This window comes from Homo sapiens, chromosome 16 (genome assembly GCF_000001405.40).
Source record: "Homo sapiens chromosome 16, GRCh38.p14 Primary Assembly".
NCBI classification, from domain to species: Eukaryota; Metazoa; Chordata; class Mammalia; order Primates; family Hominidae; genus Homo; species Homo sapiens.
In genome coordinates, this window is record NC_000016.10 from 83,524,947 (window position 1) to 83,542,241 (window position 17,295).

The window sequence follows — 17,295 nt, forward strand, 5'->3', positions numbered from 1 at the left end:
TAGACCAATGATTTTCTCATCATAGATTCTTGCTGTGTCAACTTGGACAAAAAACTTAATTTTCGGGGACGCTGATTCTTTTTCTCTGTAAGGAGAAGTTATTGGTCTGATGCACACAGTGGAATCAAACGGCAATTTACTTGTAATGAAAACCTCTCTCTCCCGGTGTCCTTATAGCAACCCCAGGGACAGACTCCAGTTGGCTCTATCTGTGCCTCATGTCCATCCTTTGAACCAACCACGGGCCAGTAGAATGTAGTACTCGGATTGACCAGGCACCTGAAGTCTAAGACAGCTTCCATCAGTTTCCTGATAACTGGCATTTACTGAGCACTTTGTCTGCACTAGATCCTGTGTGTCATGCACACTGACTTATTTAACCTTCTGGACAACAACGTAAAATAAGCTTTAGTACAAAGAGAAGTTCTATAACTTGCCTGTGGTCACATGGTTAAAAAGTGGTGAAGCTGGAATTTGTAAACAGGTTTCTTGGACTCCTAAGCCTAATTTGTAAATGCTATGTTATACTGACTTGGTTGCAGTATTGGTGGGAGAGGGCATCCTAAACAGCACCTGCTTGTTGCCAAGCCCTTGTGGATTTAAGCTCAGTTCCTTCCCCAGACCTTGTCGTGTGAACCTCCATTCTGACTTCACATCCATAGTAGGCAAGATAATGGCCCTCCCAAAGGTGTCCATGCTTTAGTGCCCCAGAAGCTGGGACTATGTTGCCTACCTGAGGGACATTGCAGATGTGATTAAGGAGTCCTTGAGTCGGGGAGATGATTCTGAGTTATCTTGGTGGATCCACTCTAATCCAATGAGTCCTTAAAATGAAAGAATTTTTTCTGGCTCAGAGAAAATGTGAAGACTGAAGAAGAGAACGGGACAGATTGCAGCATAAAAACAACTTTGTCCAGCACTGCTGGCTTTGAAGACAGAGGAGGGGCCACAAACCAAGGAACATGGGCAGTCCCAAGAAGCTGGAAAAAGTGAAGAAATGGAGTTTCCCCTGGAGCCTCTGGAAAGGAGTGCAGCCCTTCCAGTAGCTAGATGTTAGCCCAGCATCCTGTGTTGGACTTCTGATCTGCAGAACTATAAAATTTACAGATGTGTTAAGACACCGTGCTGTCGTAATTTGTTACAGTAGCAATATGAAAGGGATGTAACATTCAAGGCAGAACCAAAAACACCAGGAAATGCTGCAGCCACCACCTTCGAACCAGCTTCAAAGGTCAGCCAGTCATCAGAGTCAGAAGTTTTGTTTTGTGGGGGCGGTGGTGGTTATTGTTTTGTTTTGTTTTTTTCCTCTTTATTCTGAAAAGTGCCAGCTCTCAAGCTGGGGCAAAAATAGCTTTGTGTTGTAGCCTCAATCAATAGTCCGCAACCTTTTTGGCACCAGAAACCAGTTTCATGGAAGACAATTTTTCCAGTGGGATTGGAGGAGGATGGTTTCCGGATGAAACTGTTCCACCTAAGACCATCAGGCATTAGTTCTTTAGATTCTCATAAGGAGCATGCAAGCTAGATCCCTTGCATGCACAGTTCACAATAGGTTTTGCACTCCTATCAGGATGTACTGCCATTGCTGATCTGACAGGATACCGAGCTCAGATGGTAATGCTCGCTTGCTAGCCCACTGCTCACCTCCTGCTGTGTGGCCCAATTCCTAACAGCGTACAGACTAGTTCTGGTCCGTGGCCCGGGGGCTGGCGGCTCCTGGCTTAAATGATGAAATTTGCTGCCACTGTTTAAACACTGACTCTTTCACTTCCCCAGCCCAGCCTGTACAATCTTCTGCTTTACCTTCTTTACCTTAGCCCTTTGTCCCAGTTTGGGAACAGTGAAACTGCTGGCAATCCCAGTAATTGTCTTGAAGCAGGCAGGCAGACAGAATGGGAATTCAGGCCAGGGATGGTGGCTCGTGCCCGTAATCCCAGCACTTTGGGAGGCCAAGGCGGGCAGATCATGTGAGGTTGGGAGTTTGAGACCAGCCTGGCCAACATGGTGAAACCCCGTCTATACTAAAACTACAAAAATTAGGCAGGCGTGGTGGTGCGCACCTGTAATCCCAGCTATTTAGGAGGCTGAGGCAGGAGATCACTTGAACCCATGAGGCGGAGGCTGCTGTAAGCCGAGATTATGCCACTGCCCTGCAGCCTGGGCAACAGAGCAAGACTCTGTCTCAAAAAAAAAAAATTGTTTTAATTAAAGAATAATTTAAGGCTGGGCGTGCTGGCTCACACCTGTAATCTCAGTGCTTTGGGAGGCTGAGGCAGGCAGATCACGAGGTCGGGAGATGGAGACCATCCTAGCCAACACGGTGAAACCCCATCTCTACTAAAAATACAAAAAATTAGCTGGGCATGGTGGCAGGTGCCTGTAGTCCCAGCTACTTGGGAGGCTGAGGCAGGAGAATGGCGTGAACCCAGGAGGCAGAGCTTGCAGTGAGCCGAGATCTGGCCACTGCACTCCAGCCTGGGCGACAAAGCGAGACCCCATCTCAAAAAAAAAAAAATTAAAAATTAAGAATGGGAATTCAGATACAAAAAGAGTTGTCTTCTGCGTTAACCGCAGCACAGGGAGAGAAAAACTACATCTACCCACAGCATTATAGAAACGGCCCAGGGCAACTACATCCGTTTGATGGCATTATAGAGATGGCCCAGGGCAACCTGAGTCTGCTTTTTCATTTGTAAGTTAGTGATGATATATACACCTGACCCAGGTGCTACGAAAGGACCCAGTAAGCAAATGCTGAGACAACACCCAGTCTAGGACTTGGCATCAAATAAGCAACCCTATAAATGCCAGCACCTATTACGGTTGTTGTTGTCATTTGGGTGATAATGGCACTCACCAAATTAAAGACTTTTGAGATCACTGGTATCCATATCACACTGTAAAGTAGAAAGAAGTCTATATTTTCTCAGTACCACTTTAATGTTAATTTATTACTTAAGTACCAACAAAACTTCAAACAATATTAGAGCCAGAGGAAATATTAGAGATCTTCCTCGAATGAGTTCGGTGACTTTCTAAGGGCACGCAGGGAGTTTATCGGGAAGGCCAGGGCTAGACAATCCAAGTTCCCACAGAGCTGATAATGAGCCAGAAGTGGGCCCCCTACACACAGGCATACCTACTTAGCCCCATCTGTATATCCCAAACTCACACAGCCTCTTTAATAATCCTCTTAATAGCAGTGATAACTAAACATATTCAGCTTTAATCACACTTGCACGCATGCCTTCTTCCTTAAATCTAAGTAATATCCCTGCAGCTATTCCAAAAGGAACACTATAACTGGCTATTTGCCATAATAAGGATGAGGAAATTTTGGTTGATCACATTTTAAATGGGAAACTGTATTTAGAGAGATTTTAAACTGCAAAATTAAAAATGCAAACGTGAAATTATTTTTCCATTAAGTCTTCTCCTTGGGGAAATCTCTTCCTCTGTTGCAGTTGGGCGGTCTGGATGGGCTGGTTACCCTTGTGTGGGGTGTATAGTGAAACATCAACTCCCATGAGGCTCATTCTCAGGGGTTGAGATAATAGTAGTCCCTAGTGGGGTCGTCTAAGAGCCCTTGGGAGGGCACTTATCTTCATGTATATATTACATAAATCTTATTTCAAAAGGGATTTCTACTATAAATATTAGATCATCTGTCTCTAAATTCTCCAACTGTTTCCATCTATCTCTAAATTTCCCAACTATCTCCATCTATCTCTAAATTCTCTGACAGTGCTGAGATGTAACGAACAGCATTAAAACACTAAGCACTGAAAAAGAGTTATCATGCTGAACACAGTGTTGTTTTTATTCTAATTTCTAAATCCATGTCTCGTTTAGCATTGGTTGTAGTCAAGAGAGAGACTGTTCAATCCCAGTCTCCCCATGCCTTTTTTCTTTGTTCATTATGGTGAAGGGATCATGGCTATATAACTGTTTAATTAGCAGGAGTCACCTTGAGAAATGTCACCAGGGTGGTCCTGCTCAGTTACTAATGGGGTAGTTATATATAAATTGCTTGGTCCACCTGACTGAAATATAGTGGATTCAGTTTAGGGAGTATGAAAATCTCAGATTAGAAGAGAAGATGGAGGTCATTCCACCCAAACCCCCTCCCCATGAATACCTCTGTCTTTTTTTTTTTTTTTTCTTTTTCATTGTAGATCTAGGCGAGCTTGCTTCTTCAGGAAGTTAAGCCCCATTGTTAGGCATCTCTGAAGTACAAGCAGTACATAGTATTTATGGTTGGAGGTCAGACTCTGAAGTCCAGTGTACGTGGATTGGAATCCTAGCTTTGCAGTGTACAAGCTAATTGGATGACATATATTAAACTTATTAACAGGCTTTGTCTTTTGCCCAGAAATTTTACTTCTGAAAACTAGCCTAAAAAATAATAAAACCTTAATATTTGAGTTTATATGTATAAGGATGTTTGTTGAAGCATTGTTTTTTGTAGGTACAAAAAATAAAAGGTTAGATCTCCATTCACACTACACTGTACTACATCCATTCTAGGAAATACTATATGGCTTTAAAAAATAACTGATAATATCTATGATTTACTAGCCCAGAGCAATGTACACAGCTTACATAAAGAAATGTGCATGCCATTTTTTTGTGAAAAAAATCATAAAAATTCCCTGTGTGTGTTTTTATAGGATTCTGTAAGGATAGTAAAAGACATGGATGATCTGTACTACTGTTTTCTGAGTAATATAAATGGAAATAGAGATTTTAATACAAGCACAAAGGAAAATTATGCATAACAGAATTTTATCTATTAAACGACCACATAAAAGAAAAATACAATATTGATATTGATTTTAAAAAAGATGAAAATAAATGTCAACATATTGAACATTTGGTCAGGTGATTATGGAGCGCTAATGTTTTTCTTACATTTCTGTTATTTTCATATGTATTTGTAATAAAATAACGTTATTAAAATCACTTATAAAGGAAAATTAGAAACTACAGTCCTAGTTAAGTAGGAGTGCAAAAGAACTTGTGAAATGGGGTCGGGTAAGAATCTAGTGACTTCTCTGGAGTTGCAAGCAGAGGGTGCCTGATGCAGACACTGAGCTGGACATGAAGCATGTTCTCTGAAGATTATTGTCTGTCTTCCTTCTAAACCCATGGCTCTGCGTACCTGTTCCTGCTGGCCCTTGAAGAGGTTCATATATTTGAAATGAGCATTTTGGGGGTGTTCAGCTTGGTGCTATTCATGATAATTTGTAATAGGTTAAATGCTTTCAATTAAAGCTTAAGTCAGTGAAGCTCTCAGTTGAGAAATATCAGAAAATTGAGTGCACTGTAAAGTCAGTCTCTGTAGGTCTCCATAGCTTGAATTTTGTGGAGTCACCACTGAGCTGACCTTGTGCTGAGTTTTATGATTCTCATATTAGACACCTTCTTACACATTCAGATGGCATTTCCAGCTGGCTGTCTAAAGTTGCTTCGTAGTCACGGAATCAGGACCCCAGAACAGAGAGCCAAAATTGAGCACTGTTTCCTGAGAGCACTGTGGCTCTGTCCTTGAGGACAGATTTGGCCTGTGTTAAGTTGTTGATGAGCAATTGTTAGGATTAATGGTCTCTGTGAGTCTACTCCTTCTATAACCCAGCACCCAGGCTTTCACATCAACCACGCACCAACCATCACAGCAGCTGTTTTCAATCTGCCCATCATCTTAACCACACACACAAGGCTGCAGAATTCATCTCATTAACTTCCTTATTTTGTAATGGAAGACTGAGGTTCACAGAGGGACAGTGACTTTCCCAAGTCACTCAACTGGTCCTGACAAAGAAGGACTAGCCTATGGCAATCTCAGATTGCCACCTCTATGTTGAAATGACATTTACCAGTAACTAGCCCCTTGGCAGAGAGGAACCCATCAGGCAGGCGGTCTGTGCATGGTGGGTCAGAGGCAGAGCTGTGCATTCACACAGACTGGATTCAAATATCGGTTCCTTCATGTTTTAGCTTTGTGACTTTCGCTGGGTCCTTTGATGTCTCCACTCCTCCATTTCCTGTCCTCTAAAGGGGGAATGCTGGCAGTGTGTTTTCATGGGATAGTTACGAGCATTAAATAACTTTCTTCCGGTAAAGTTCTTGGTGTTGTTTCTGACATCTAATAAGCAATCAAATGTTACAACTGCCACCACCATGGTAGCACATCCTCTTCTGGGTAACACCTATGTTAAATCAACGTACATGGCTTGACTCAGGTGATATCTGTAATCTTGACTTTGTCTGTTTACATGTAACTAGGCCTCTGGTCTCTGCCATCCTATAAATCCATTCAGCCTTTCAGCCTCAGTTTCTCCTGGTAGAGCCTGGCATGGCCTGAAGGCAGCACAGTATAATAGAAATAGGAAGGTGTGTGTGATAGACTAAAAGATGGCTCCCCCAGACACCCAAGTCCTGATCCTGGTACCTATGACTATGTTACCTTACACAGCAACAGAGACTTTGCTGGTGTGATTAAGTCAAGGATCTTGAGATGAGGGGTGAGGGGCTTATAAAGCGGAGTTTCCCTGCACAAGCCCTCTTCTCTTCTCTGCCGCCATGTGAGACATGCCTTTCACTTTCCACCATGATTGTGAGGCCTCTCAGCCAGATATGCTCAATTATCTAAGTTGTCCCTAAATGTAATTACAAATGTCCCTACAAGAGGGAGGCGAGTGGTATTGACTGAAGAAGAGGGAGGAGGCAATGTGATGTGGCCACTAACCCAGAAATGAATTCAGTCTCTAGAAGCAAAAAAGGCAAAATATACATTCTCTCCCGGAGCCTTTGGAAGCAGTGTGGCCCTGCGGCCACCTTAATTTTAGCACAGTGAAATGGATTTTGGACTCCTGGCCTCCAAAACTGTAAGAGAGTAACTTTGTGTTATTTCAACCTAACAGTTTGTGGTAATTTGTTAGGGCAGTCACAAGAAGCTCTGATATGGTTTAGCTGTGTCCCCACTCAAATCTCATCTTTAATTTTAGCTCCCACAATTCCCATGTGTTATGGGAGGCACCCGGTGGGAGGTAATTGAATCATGGGGGCAGGTCTTTCCTGTGCTATGCTTGTGATAGTGAGGAAGTCTCATGAGATCTGATGGTTTTATAAAGGGGAGTTTCCTTGCACAAGAGCTCTTCTCTTGTCTGCTGCCATGTGAGATGTGCCTTTCACCTGCTGCCATGATTGTGAAGCCTCCTCAACCACAAGGGACTGTGAGTCCATTAAACCTCTTTCTTTTGCATATTGCCCAGTCTCAGGTATGTGTTTATCAACAGTGTGAAAACAGACTAGTACAAGCTCATACAGTGTAGAAGTCACTCCTCAAAGGTGACTTCTGTCACCACCCTCACCCCAAGATTAGAAGAGTTCCCATTGCACCTTGAAATTCATTTTCAAAGCATTCATTGCACTTGGGACTATTAGTTTAATGCCCAGCACCTGGAACCAGTGCTTGGAACATGGGAGTCCCTTAATAAAATGTTACTGGATAAATGAATATTTGTCTTCCCAGAGAGACAGTGAGCTTCCTAGAAGCCACATGCGGGCTCTTTGCTGCTGCATCCAGAGTGCCTAGCTCAGCGCTAGTGCATGGTAGCTTCTCCATAAATATTTGCTGAATGAATAAATGGCTGCTTGTCTCCTCAAGTAGCCTATCAGCTCCACATTCGCCATGTCAGTTTCTTCCTCTGCAATCTCTGCAGTGGCTTGCACCATGCCTGGTGCCTTGTAAGTTCTTTGCAAGCAATCATTGGCCATCTGCCTGAGTAGTCACGCTGGTCCGGACTTGAGCGATCCTCTCCCTCTGTCCCTTTGCACTAGAGCAGTTGTCCCATTAAGCCATGTGAACCCTACCGGTGTGTGTTATGAGCCATGCGTTGTGCCAACATCCCGGCAGACGGAATTCAGCAGTGCCACGGGAGAGAGCCAGCGGCCTCCCCTGCATCTGAGCAGCGTGGCTTGTTAGTTCCCAGTCCTTCAGCCACCAGCTGTTTCTAACACAAACTCGTGGTGACAGAGCTCTCTGTAGGAGAAGCTAACTACAATTGTCAGTCTGCAGAGCATCAGGCATCTCTAAAAGGATTCCAATTATTGTTCTGTTCTGCCTGCTCCTATTACAGTCTACCTCAACATCAGCTCTTATTCAGGGAGAGGAGAGCGAGATGCTAACTCTGTCTCCACTCACTCTTATGCCAGAGGACCAGCAGATGCCAGCAGCTGGTGTCACGCTGGAGAAGGGTAAACATAGGTAAACTTCCCCTCAATGCGACGGCTCACTTTTCATTGGTGTGTATTGCACTTAAATGTGCTCGGAAAATCTCAACTCAGCGTGACTCGCAACCTCACCACTGAGCGGAAGATAAATACTGAGATGCCCAGAGGTGAGTCATTTTTACAGGGCATTCCCCAAAGACAAGATGGGAGGTGCCTCCCACACTCTTCACCTCCTCCTCTGTGGGCAGCAGGTCCCTGCCTGAAGCCGACAGACAGGAAGTCGGATCTGTGTAGGTAGAGTTGGCAGGTTTCTCAGCTCTCATAATAGCTCATGGGCATTGCAGTAAGGACCCAGCACAAGGAGGTGGTGGAATGGCACGGCCCACGGCTTCCTTAGTTGTGGAAGTTGTGAGGATTTAAGTATAATTTACATTATCTTTTTTTTTTTTTTTTTTTTGAGATGGAGTCTCACTCTGTCACCCAGGCTGGAGTGCAGTGGCACGATCTCAGCTCACTGCAACCTCCACCTCCTGGGTTCAGGTGATTCTCTTGCCTCACCCTCCTGAGTAGCTGGGATTACAGGTGTGCACCACCACGCCCAGCTAATTTTTGCATTTTTAGTAGAGATGGGATTTCGCCATGTTGCCCAGGCTAGTCTCAAACTCCTGACCCCAAGTGATCCGCCCACCTCAGCCTCCCGAGCTGCTGGGATTACAGGCATGAGCCACAGTGCCTGGCACGTTAATCTATTTTAAAAATCTAGTTGGACTTATTTTTAAACTTGTTTGTCAAGGCAAAATTCACATGACATAAAAATTAACCATTTTAAAGTGAACAATTCAGTGCCATTTAGTGGATGGACAGTGTTGTATAAGGCACCACCTCTATCTATATTCTCATCGCCCCCAAATGAAAACCGCATACCTGTTAAGTAGTTGCTCCCCATCCTCCATCCCCCATGCCCTTTGTAATCATCTACTTTCTGTCTTTAAGGATTTACCTATTCTGGATGCTCCATACAAATGAAATATGCAAAGAGGAGCGCATTAGGAAGGTGGTCTGTTCATGGTGGTTCAGAGGCAGAGCTGTGGATCCTCACAGCCTGGATTCAAATACCAGTCCCTTCATTTTTCAGCTTTGTGATCTTGGCTAGGTTCTTTGACCTCTTCATTTTTCCTTTTCCTGTTCTACAAAGGGAAAATGCTGGCAGTGCATTTTCATGGGGCCGTTACAAGCATTAAATAACCTTCTTCAGGTAAAGTTCTTGCTGTTGAATCTGACATCAAATAAGCCATCAAATGTTACAACCACTACCTCCTCTTCCTGGCTAGCACCTATGTGAAATGAATGTACATGGCTTGACTCAGGTGATGCCTGTCTTTTGTGGCCTTTTGCGATTGGCCCCTGTCACTTAGCACAATGTTGTAAGGTACGTCATAGTGTTTACTGATCCATATGATAGCAGAGGTCAGCACTTCTTTTCATAGCTGAATAGTATTCCACTGTATGGATAGGCCACATTTTGTTTGCCTATCCTTTCACTGATGGACATTTGAGCTGCTTCTACTTCCTCACTATTATGAGCAATGCTGCTATGAGCATGCATTTGCAAACAGTTATTCTTATTTAAATGTGAATTAGCAGTGCGTATACACACCCAAAATTGGGTCATCAAAGCCATGATTTTATTGATAATGATCAAGGATTTCTTCTTTACACAAATTCATTAGAGCACAAATGTCAATGTCTAGGACAATTTTATAGGACAATCTGAAGAAAGCAACAGCTCAGCTGGAATGTGGATATGGTTGAAGTCATTAGTTTAATCATATCTGCAGAGTTTCTTTTGCCATATAAGGTAACACTCACAGGTCCTGGGAATTATTAGGATCAGGATATTGTTGGGGTCCTTTTTCAGTCTGCCATATACACTGTGGCCTGAAGGTTCATTAAGAGTTAACTGGGAGACCAGAGCATAAGGGGTGCTCCAGGCAGAGGGCACAGCATGTGCAGAGGCCCTGGGGCAAGAGGCAGCCTGGTATGTGCAAGAAGAAAAGAGATGCACGGCTGGAAAGAGACACAGGCTTTTATTGGCCAAATTAAGGACTTGGGTCAGCATCCAAAGGACAAAGAGATACCACTAAAGAATCTCAAAAAAAGGAGTGATAAGTTGATTGGCATTTTAGTAGATGCTGTGGCCACATTGTAGATGGGCAAAGTAGAGGGAAATAATTGTGGATTCAGAAGAAGTTAGGAAGCTGTTGCAATAGTTCTGGTGAGAGGTGGCCAAGGCAAAGGTTAGTGTGTGACCGTGAGGACCAAAGGAAGAGGACAGTCACAGGCATCTGTGACTTACAGCTGACCAGCTCTGCTTTGCTACTTCATTCGTTGATTCCACAAGTGCGTATTGAGATCTCAACATGGGGAAGGTGTTATGCATGGTGCTGGGAATGAAATGCTGAGCCAACTGTGCAGTCCTGGACAGGTTAATTAACATTTAGGCCTCAGTTTCCCCAAGATATGATAATGTTCATTTTTTTTGGAGTGTCATGAATATTAAGTGAGTGAATGGAAGGAAAGAGCTTAGGACAGTGCTTGACACAGAGGAAGTATTTGGAGCAGCAAGCAAGAGAAAAAGAAGGAACGAAGGAAAGGAAGGAAGGGAGGGAGGGAGGGAAGGAAGGAAGGAGAGAGGAAGAGAAAGAGAAACAAAGAAAAGAAAAGGAAAAAAAGGAAAGAAGGAAAGAAGGAAGGAAAGGAAGGAAGGAAGGAAGAAAAGAAAAGAAAAGAAAAGAAAGAAACCCATGGACACCCACAGAAACAACCACCCTGGCTTTGGCCCTCCTCTCTCTAGAGTAGTCATTGAAAAATTCACCCAGGACAACATTTGCATGAACACCCAGGAAATGGGTGGCATATGGCATTTGGCATTATGAGGCATTGAGAAATCCTTTCCGTAATATCCACTGAGTATATACTGTGAGCCAAAACTATGATAGCGGCTATGGGGGAAAAATGAGTAAAAACCAACAGTCATTGTCTTCATAGAGCTTACAATGTAGTTGGGGGGACCAATATTAGTCAAATAAGCATAGTAAGAAAGATAGTACAAGGTAAGAGGGGGAAGACCATGTTGCAAGAGAGTCTTTGGTGGGCTGAGTTGACCTGACCACGGTAGTCATGGAAGGTCTCCTTGTGGACGTGATCCTTGGGGTGAATCAAGAGGATGAGGTGGTGTTAACTGAGCAAGAATGGGTAGAAAGAACATCACAGGGAGAGAGAAAAGGGTGAGCAAAGGTCCTGTGGCCAGTGGGAATGCAGTGAGTGTGGGTGTAGATAAGGCTGGAGAGGCCACCAAGAGCTGAACACCCATGGAACCTTGTAGAACAGGCTGATGGGTTTTGTCTTTATACTAATGGAAATGGGAAATCCTTAAAGTATATTAAGTTATATGGAGATATATACAGAGATGCATCTTTGGAAAGATGATTCTGGTTTGAGTGTTAAGGGGAGATGGAGAAGGAGATAAGAGAAATGTCCACTAGGGGACTACCATATTGGTTCAAACAAGAGACAGCAATTAGGTGGTAGAGATGGGGAGAAGGTGCCACTTCGAGGGCTGTTTAGGAGAGAAAATCAACAGCAGCACTAGTGATAAATTGAGCAGAAGAGGTAATGGAGGGTCAGGTGGCCAGGATAACACCAGCATTTCTTGACTGGTGCAATCGAAATTGAAATGGGGATGTTGCGGATGGAGGTAACTCATGCCACAGGTGTTTCATCTTCTCAGTAAAGCAGAAGCCTGGCTCATTTGCTGAAAAAGAGTGCATTGAGAACTAAGGCAGAATTTTAAGGACGTACAAACATTTTTGAATGGCAGCTGTGGGGATTCGAGCAACAAGAATGACTTGCAGAAGTGATGACTTAATTGAAATCAAATTGAAATACATAGAAACCACAGATTTGGAGTAGGCATTTCATTTGATATGTCTCAAAGGCCCAGCAGGATGCTCTATCTACAAAGAAGGTACAGAATAAGTATTTGTTGAGCAAGTAGATAAAACCAAAGAGCGATTTTGCATGACTTTCCTGAGCCAACTGGGACAATGAATTGGCTGATCTATGCACAAAAATTTGTCCTGCTATATTTCTTTCCATGGCAATCCCTGTGTAGAACTTTAGGCTGCAACCTAAAGGTGAAATGCACTTAATTTGGCTTGAATAATTTACTTGGATTCTTCCTTATCAACAAGACTTGAATATATAATGTATTTGAATTTGAATTTGGTAGTTATATGATTGTTTAATTCTTGGGGATTGGAATATGAGGGAGATAGGAAGAAAAGGAAAAGGAACCATTTGCTCACACTCTGGCAGATCTAAAGAAGGTTTCATTACTGTAGGGCTTCTCAGAACTTTCAGTACCCTAAGACAGAAGCTTCTTAGACATTATTTGTTCTACAGGAAAAAAAAAGTGTTGCAAAGAATAGCTACATATAGTTATTATCTAATATAGTGGCATTCTATGGAAAGAAATAAATCTATATTAGATTACCTTGAATTTGAGAATATCACATTTTAGCCCCTTGGAAGGAATTGTACTCTGGAATTATATCTTTGGAATATCTGATCAGGCCATTATACCAATCTTCCCATGTTTCCTACCATATTTCTAAAAGAATATTATTTTATACCATAACTATATTCAACATAGTGCCTATTTCTCTATTGCCTTCCTAGGAATTTAATTTTGTTGTCTAAATGGGGGAAGTCTGTTTCCTTTCCCAGTTACGGCCCAAATAATAAATGTTGATGTTACCGTGCTATAAAAATATGTCCTCTATAAATTGCTTTGCTTGTCATTAAGATGTTTCCTAAACAAGTTGAATATGCGCTATGTTTTTGCCAGACACTTGAAGCAATCTTAAATTACCTGCTGTGTCTACACATATTCAGAAGGCCATAATAGAAATGTGCCGAGTGGCTCAGGAGAAAATCATTTATAAAGATTAGAGGAGGACTTGGGAAGCTCTGCCTCTTGTTGCTTGGATTGTGCACAAATACATTTATTTCTGGGTATGTTTAGGTTATTTCTTTTCAGATTTATTTTGGTTTACACCGTTTCCCAAGCATTAGTCATCACTGTCCCCTGAAGCAGTCACACTATACTCATCTCCGTAGATGATCAATCAGAATCTTGAGAGTGAAATGACCAGTTAAGACAGACCAACAATTTGTTGATCTAGTGGAGGCGGAAAAAATGCAGTCTGAATTGAAATGACTTTTATGAGATTTCACCCAGGTGGTTGTTTCTAAATTTATACTCAAAATATAGAGTGAAACTTGAGAGAACATTTGCAAGAAGGAATGTGATCCTAAAATAATAGGATGTCCTTGTTGGGTGAGTTGAGGAAGTATGATAGAGCCATAGAGGAAAAGGGTAGATTGGCATCGACTTAGTAGCGCTGACGATCATTTTTATCAGGGATGTGGATGTAGGCACAGAAAGAAAGGCATAGCTCTTAGATTAGCAGAAGAGACAAGGTTGGAAGGAATAATTGTCCAGTTAGAATGCATAATCTGTTTTTAAAGACATATTAAACTGGAATAACCCATGTACAAGTATTTATCCAGCTTGGATACCTGGAAGTGGAATTCCTGGTTGAAAGGTATATTAATATAAAATTTTGTAAAAAAATATATGTTAGATAATGCTTAGTCATCCTTCGCAAATATCATGCCAATCTACATTTCAACTACCAGGGCACACACTTGAACCCATATAAACAGTGGTCTATTCTGAGGACTTTTCAGAACTTTTATTAAACCAAGATTCATTGTAAATCTTTGAGGGAGTCATCTGGCATACAAAGTGTTTTCGAAACTTTGATTTTAAAGGAACTCATACTAACATCTTGAGAATCTAGTATCCTTAGAACAGTGGTCCCCAACCTTTCTTGGCACCAGGGACCGGTTTTGTGGAAGACAATTTTTCTGTGGGCAAGGGTGGGGGATGGTTTCAGGATGAAACTATTGCACCTCAGATCATCAGGCATTAGTTAGATTCTCATAAGGAACATGCAACCTAGATCCCTCACACGTGCAGTTCACAGTAGGGTTCACGCTTCTATGAGAATCTAATGCCATGGCTGATCTGACAGGAGGCGGAGCTCAGGTGGTCATGCTCACTCACTTGCCACTCCCCTCCTGCTGTGCGACTCGGTTCCTAACAGGCCATGGACCAGCACTGGTGTGTAGCCAGGGGGCTGGAGACCCCTGCCTTAGAACACAATTCAAGAAATGCTAGTCCACATGAAAGTGAAAGGCTGAAAACTTGCAGAAAAGGAAAACCGAAACATTGAAAGAGGGAAAATCTGACAGGAGAAGGCACAGAGATGAGCATGAGGGCCATTTGTTGAAGTGTTGGTAACAGCGATAATGATAATTCTAGCTGATATTTTCAGAGCATTTTCTACGTGTCACTCATGGAGTCCTCACAAGAACTTCACGAAATAGGTACTGTAATTATTCCCATTTCATAGATGAAGCAATTGCAGCATAGGGAGATGAAGTACCTTGTCCAAGGTCATGCGAATAGGTTAGACTTATTCACTCTGTGTGGCCCCAGAGGAGGAATGGTTCTAGAAAGAAATATTTTAGCTTAATATTTGAAGAAGGGCTCCAGCAGTCAGAAACTGGGCATCATCTATTAGGGATATCTCCCTGAGGGAGAATTTGAGCGTGATTAATTCCCTGACATTCCATTGGTGGAACTCATTCTTTGACTTTAGATAAAATTCTCTTGCTTCTGAATCTCTGCTAATTTAGGTGGTTTGTCCTGGACAAGACTGATTTTTAAAATTCTTTATGTTATTGTCAATAAATTTTTTTTTTTTTTTTTTGAGATGGAGTCTCACTCTGTCACCAGGCTGGAGTTCAGTGGATCCATCTAGGCTAACTTCAATCTCCGCCTCCCAGGTTGAAGCCACTCTCCTGCTTCAGCCTCCCGAGTAGCTGGTGTTGGAGGCCGAAAGATTGAGGGTCGTGATCAACTCAGTATACCACTGGAGGCTATATGAGTAAGCGCCAAACTGGTCTTCATAAATGCAGAATGTTGGCAGACCGACAAACTGCGTCTGCTGCCCCGAAGGAGTGCTGAAGACAGTCACCCCCGATGCGCAGTGTTTCTTGTGATTAGGTACATCTGAAGCCTGTTAGTAATAATATAAACCTGTGTTCAGTTAAGCAGCTGACCAGTCATTACCACCTCCTCCTTGCTCTTTCTACCCAATAAATACAAAGGGCTCTAGAAGCTCAGGGGTGCCTTTGCTCACTAGAAGCAGGGAGCTCTCTTCTTCTTCCCCAGACCCTTCCTTTAAAACAGTTTCTTTTGTCTTAAGTTTCCATTTCTACGTTTGTCCCTTTGTTCAGTCTCGTAATGACACTCTCAAGTAGTAACAGTAGTAACTGTCCTAATGACATCTCAAGTAGTAACTGTTGTCATGATGGTCTCAAGTAGTAACAGTAGTAACTGTTGTAGTGACTGGTCTCAAGTAGTAATTGCGGCAGTCAGCCACAGCTGGAATTACAGGCATGCACCACCACACCCAGCTAATTTTTGTATTTTTAGTAGAGATGGGTTTTCACCATGTTGGCCAGGATGGTCTTGATCTCCCAACCTCAAATGATCCGCCCGCCTCAGCCTCCCAAAGTGCTGGGATTATAGGCGTGAGCCACTGCACCTGGCCTATTGTCAATAAAATATTTTTATATCCATGATGCCAGTTTGTTTGGTAAATGTGACTACAGAGCCCAGGGTGAAAAGATGTAGAAATTGTCTTGGGATCATCTTGACGTCTCCTGGTTGGAGTATTCATGTTCACTCCCGCTCAATCCCCAGGTCATATGGCAGTCTAATCTCAGACTCTCAGCCCAGCTGCCACCTCCAGCCTCTGGCCTACACTAGTGCCCAGTGGTGAGCAAAGATGTTGGGAAGAAATCTGGATGCATCTAACCCTGCTGCCTGTTGAGTATCAGGAAGCTGCCCAACACTCTTCCTTAGAAAGGTTTTAACATGTCATAATATTGAGGCATTGAAAATCTAAATGAATTCTTCTGATTGTTCCAGAGAAGCTATGGAAATATGATCACTTCATTATCCTTTACCAAATGTTCATTGCATGTCTTCAGTCCCTCACATTCCCACCAGCTCCTCTCTTCTTTGCCTGACCAACCTTACTCATCCTTTGAGGCATGTGGCAGAGATCGTGTGTTCACTAAACTCTGTTTGTTTTCACTCTTGGCCATAGTTAGACTTAATTTTCCAAAGTTCCTTGCAGTTAGGCAGGGCCATGAAACAGACAATGGAATTTGGTAGAAGTCATCAAACCACTCCTTCCTCTCCTCACCTTCTTTCCCCATCCACAAGCTGAACCAAGGACTCCAAAGGTCTAGAGGAAGGCACAGCCCAAGATGGAAGGACCTGAATCCCTGACTCCCCCAAGACATTGAGCAAAGTGGAAGAAATTCATGGTTGGTTTTTAAGCTCTTTAGAAACAGTGGTTTATTTGTTGCAGCAGTTAATGTTGCTCTGCCTAACATAAGACTCTGCTCTACCACATCAGGTTTCTTCATGGGTAAAGTAAGGTCTTCTCCTATGAGAATGTATAGAGCCCTAGACAGAGCTTGCATCATAGCTTTAGAATGCAAGCCCCATGGGACAGAGGCTGTGTCTTTCTTATCCATCATTGTACCCATTCCCTAGCAAGTGTCCAGCATTTGGAAGCAAGTCAATAAATACTAGCTATTATTGCTATTAGTATTAATGTGTTAGCGTTGTCTGACCCTTGCTCCTTACAGTGTAGGCCATGGGCCACCATGGCATCACCCCAGAGCTTGCTAGAAATGCAGAGCCTCAGGCCTCATGCTAGTCTTATTGAATTAGCATCTGCATTTTAACAAGACTCTCAGGTGAGGCCATTCCTGCTGAGGTGCACATACTAATATTTGAAAGACATCACTCTAGACCAGCAGTTCTGAGCCTTGGTTGCACCTTAGAGT

At 42.9% G+C, this 17,295-nt stretch overlaps 1 protein-coding gene across 6 annotated transcripts in view, besides 2 other annotated features; it reads left to right on the forward strand.

Moving 5' to 3' along the window:
* The window catches only part of CDH13 (cadherin 13), a 1,173,672-nt gene that overhangs the window by 897,978 nt on the left and 258,399 nt on the right, over positions 1-17,295 (forward strand). The window lies entirely within an intron of this gene.
* Positions 7,829-9,028: an enhancer, noted in NCBI's record as "P300/CBP strongly-dependent group 1 enhancer chr16:83566380-83567579 (GRCh37/hg19 assembly coordinates)". NCBI's record gives its function as "activates an origin of replication core promoter dependent on BRD2, BRD4, P300/CBP, MED14 and CDK7 cofactors, with strong dependence on P300/CBP, by STARR-seq in HCT116 cells {active_cell/tissue: HCT116}" and the evidence as "EXISTENCE:reporter gene assay evidence [ECO:0000049][PMID:35650434]".
* Positions 8,238-8,532: an enhancer, noted in NCBI's record as "tiled region #9244; HepG2 Activating non-DNase unmatched - State 21:Repr". NCBI's record gives its function as "activates a minimal TATA promoter and a strong SV40 promoter by Sharpr-MPRA in HepG2 cells {active_cell/tissue: HepG2}" and the evidence as "EXISTENCE:reporter gene assay evidence [ECO:0000049][PMID:27701403]".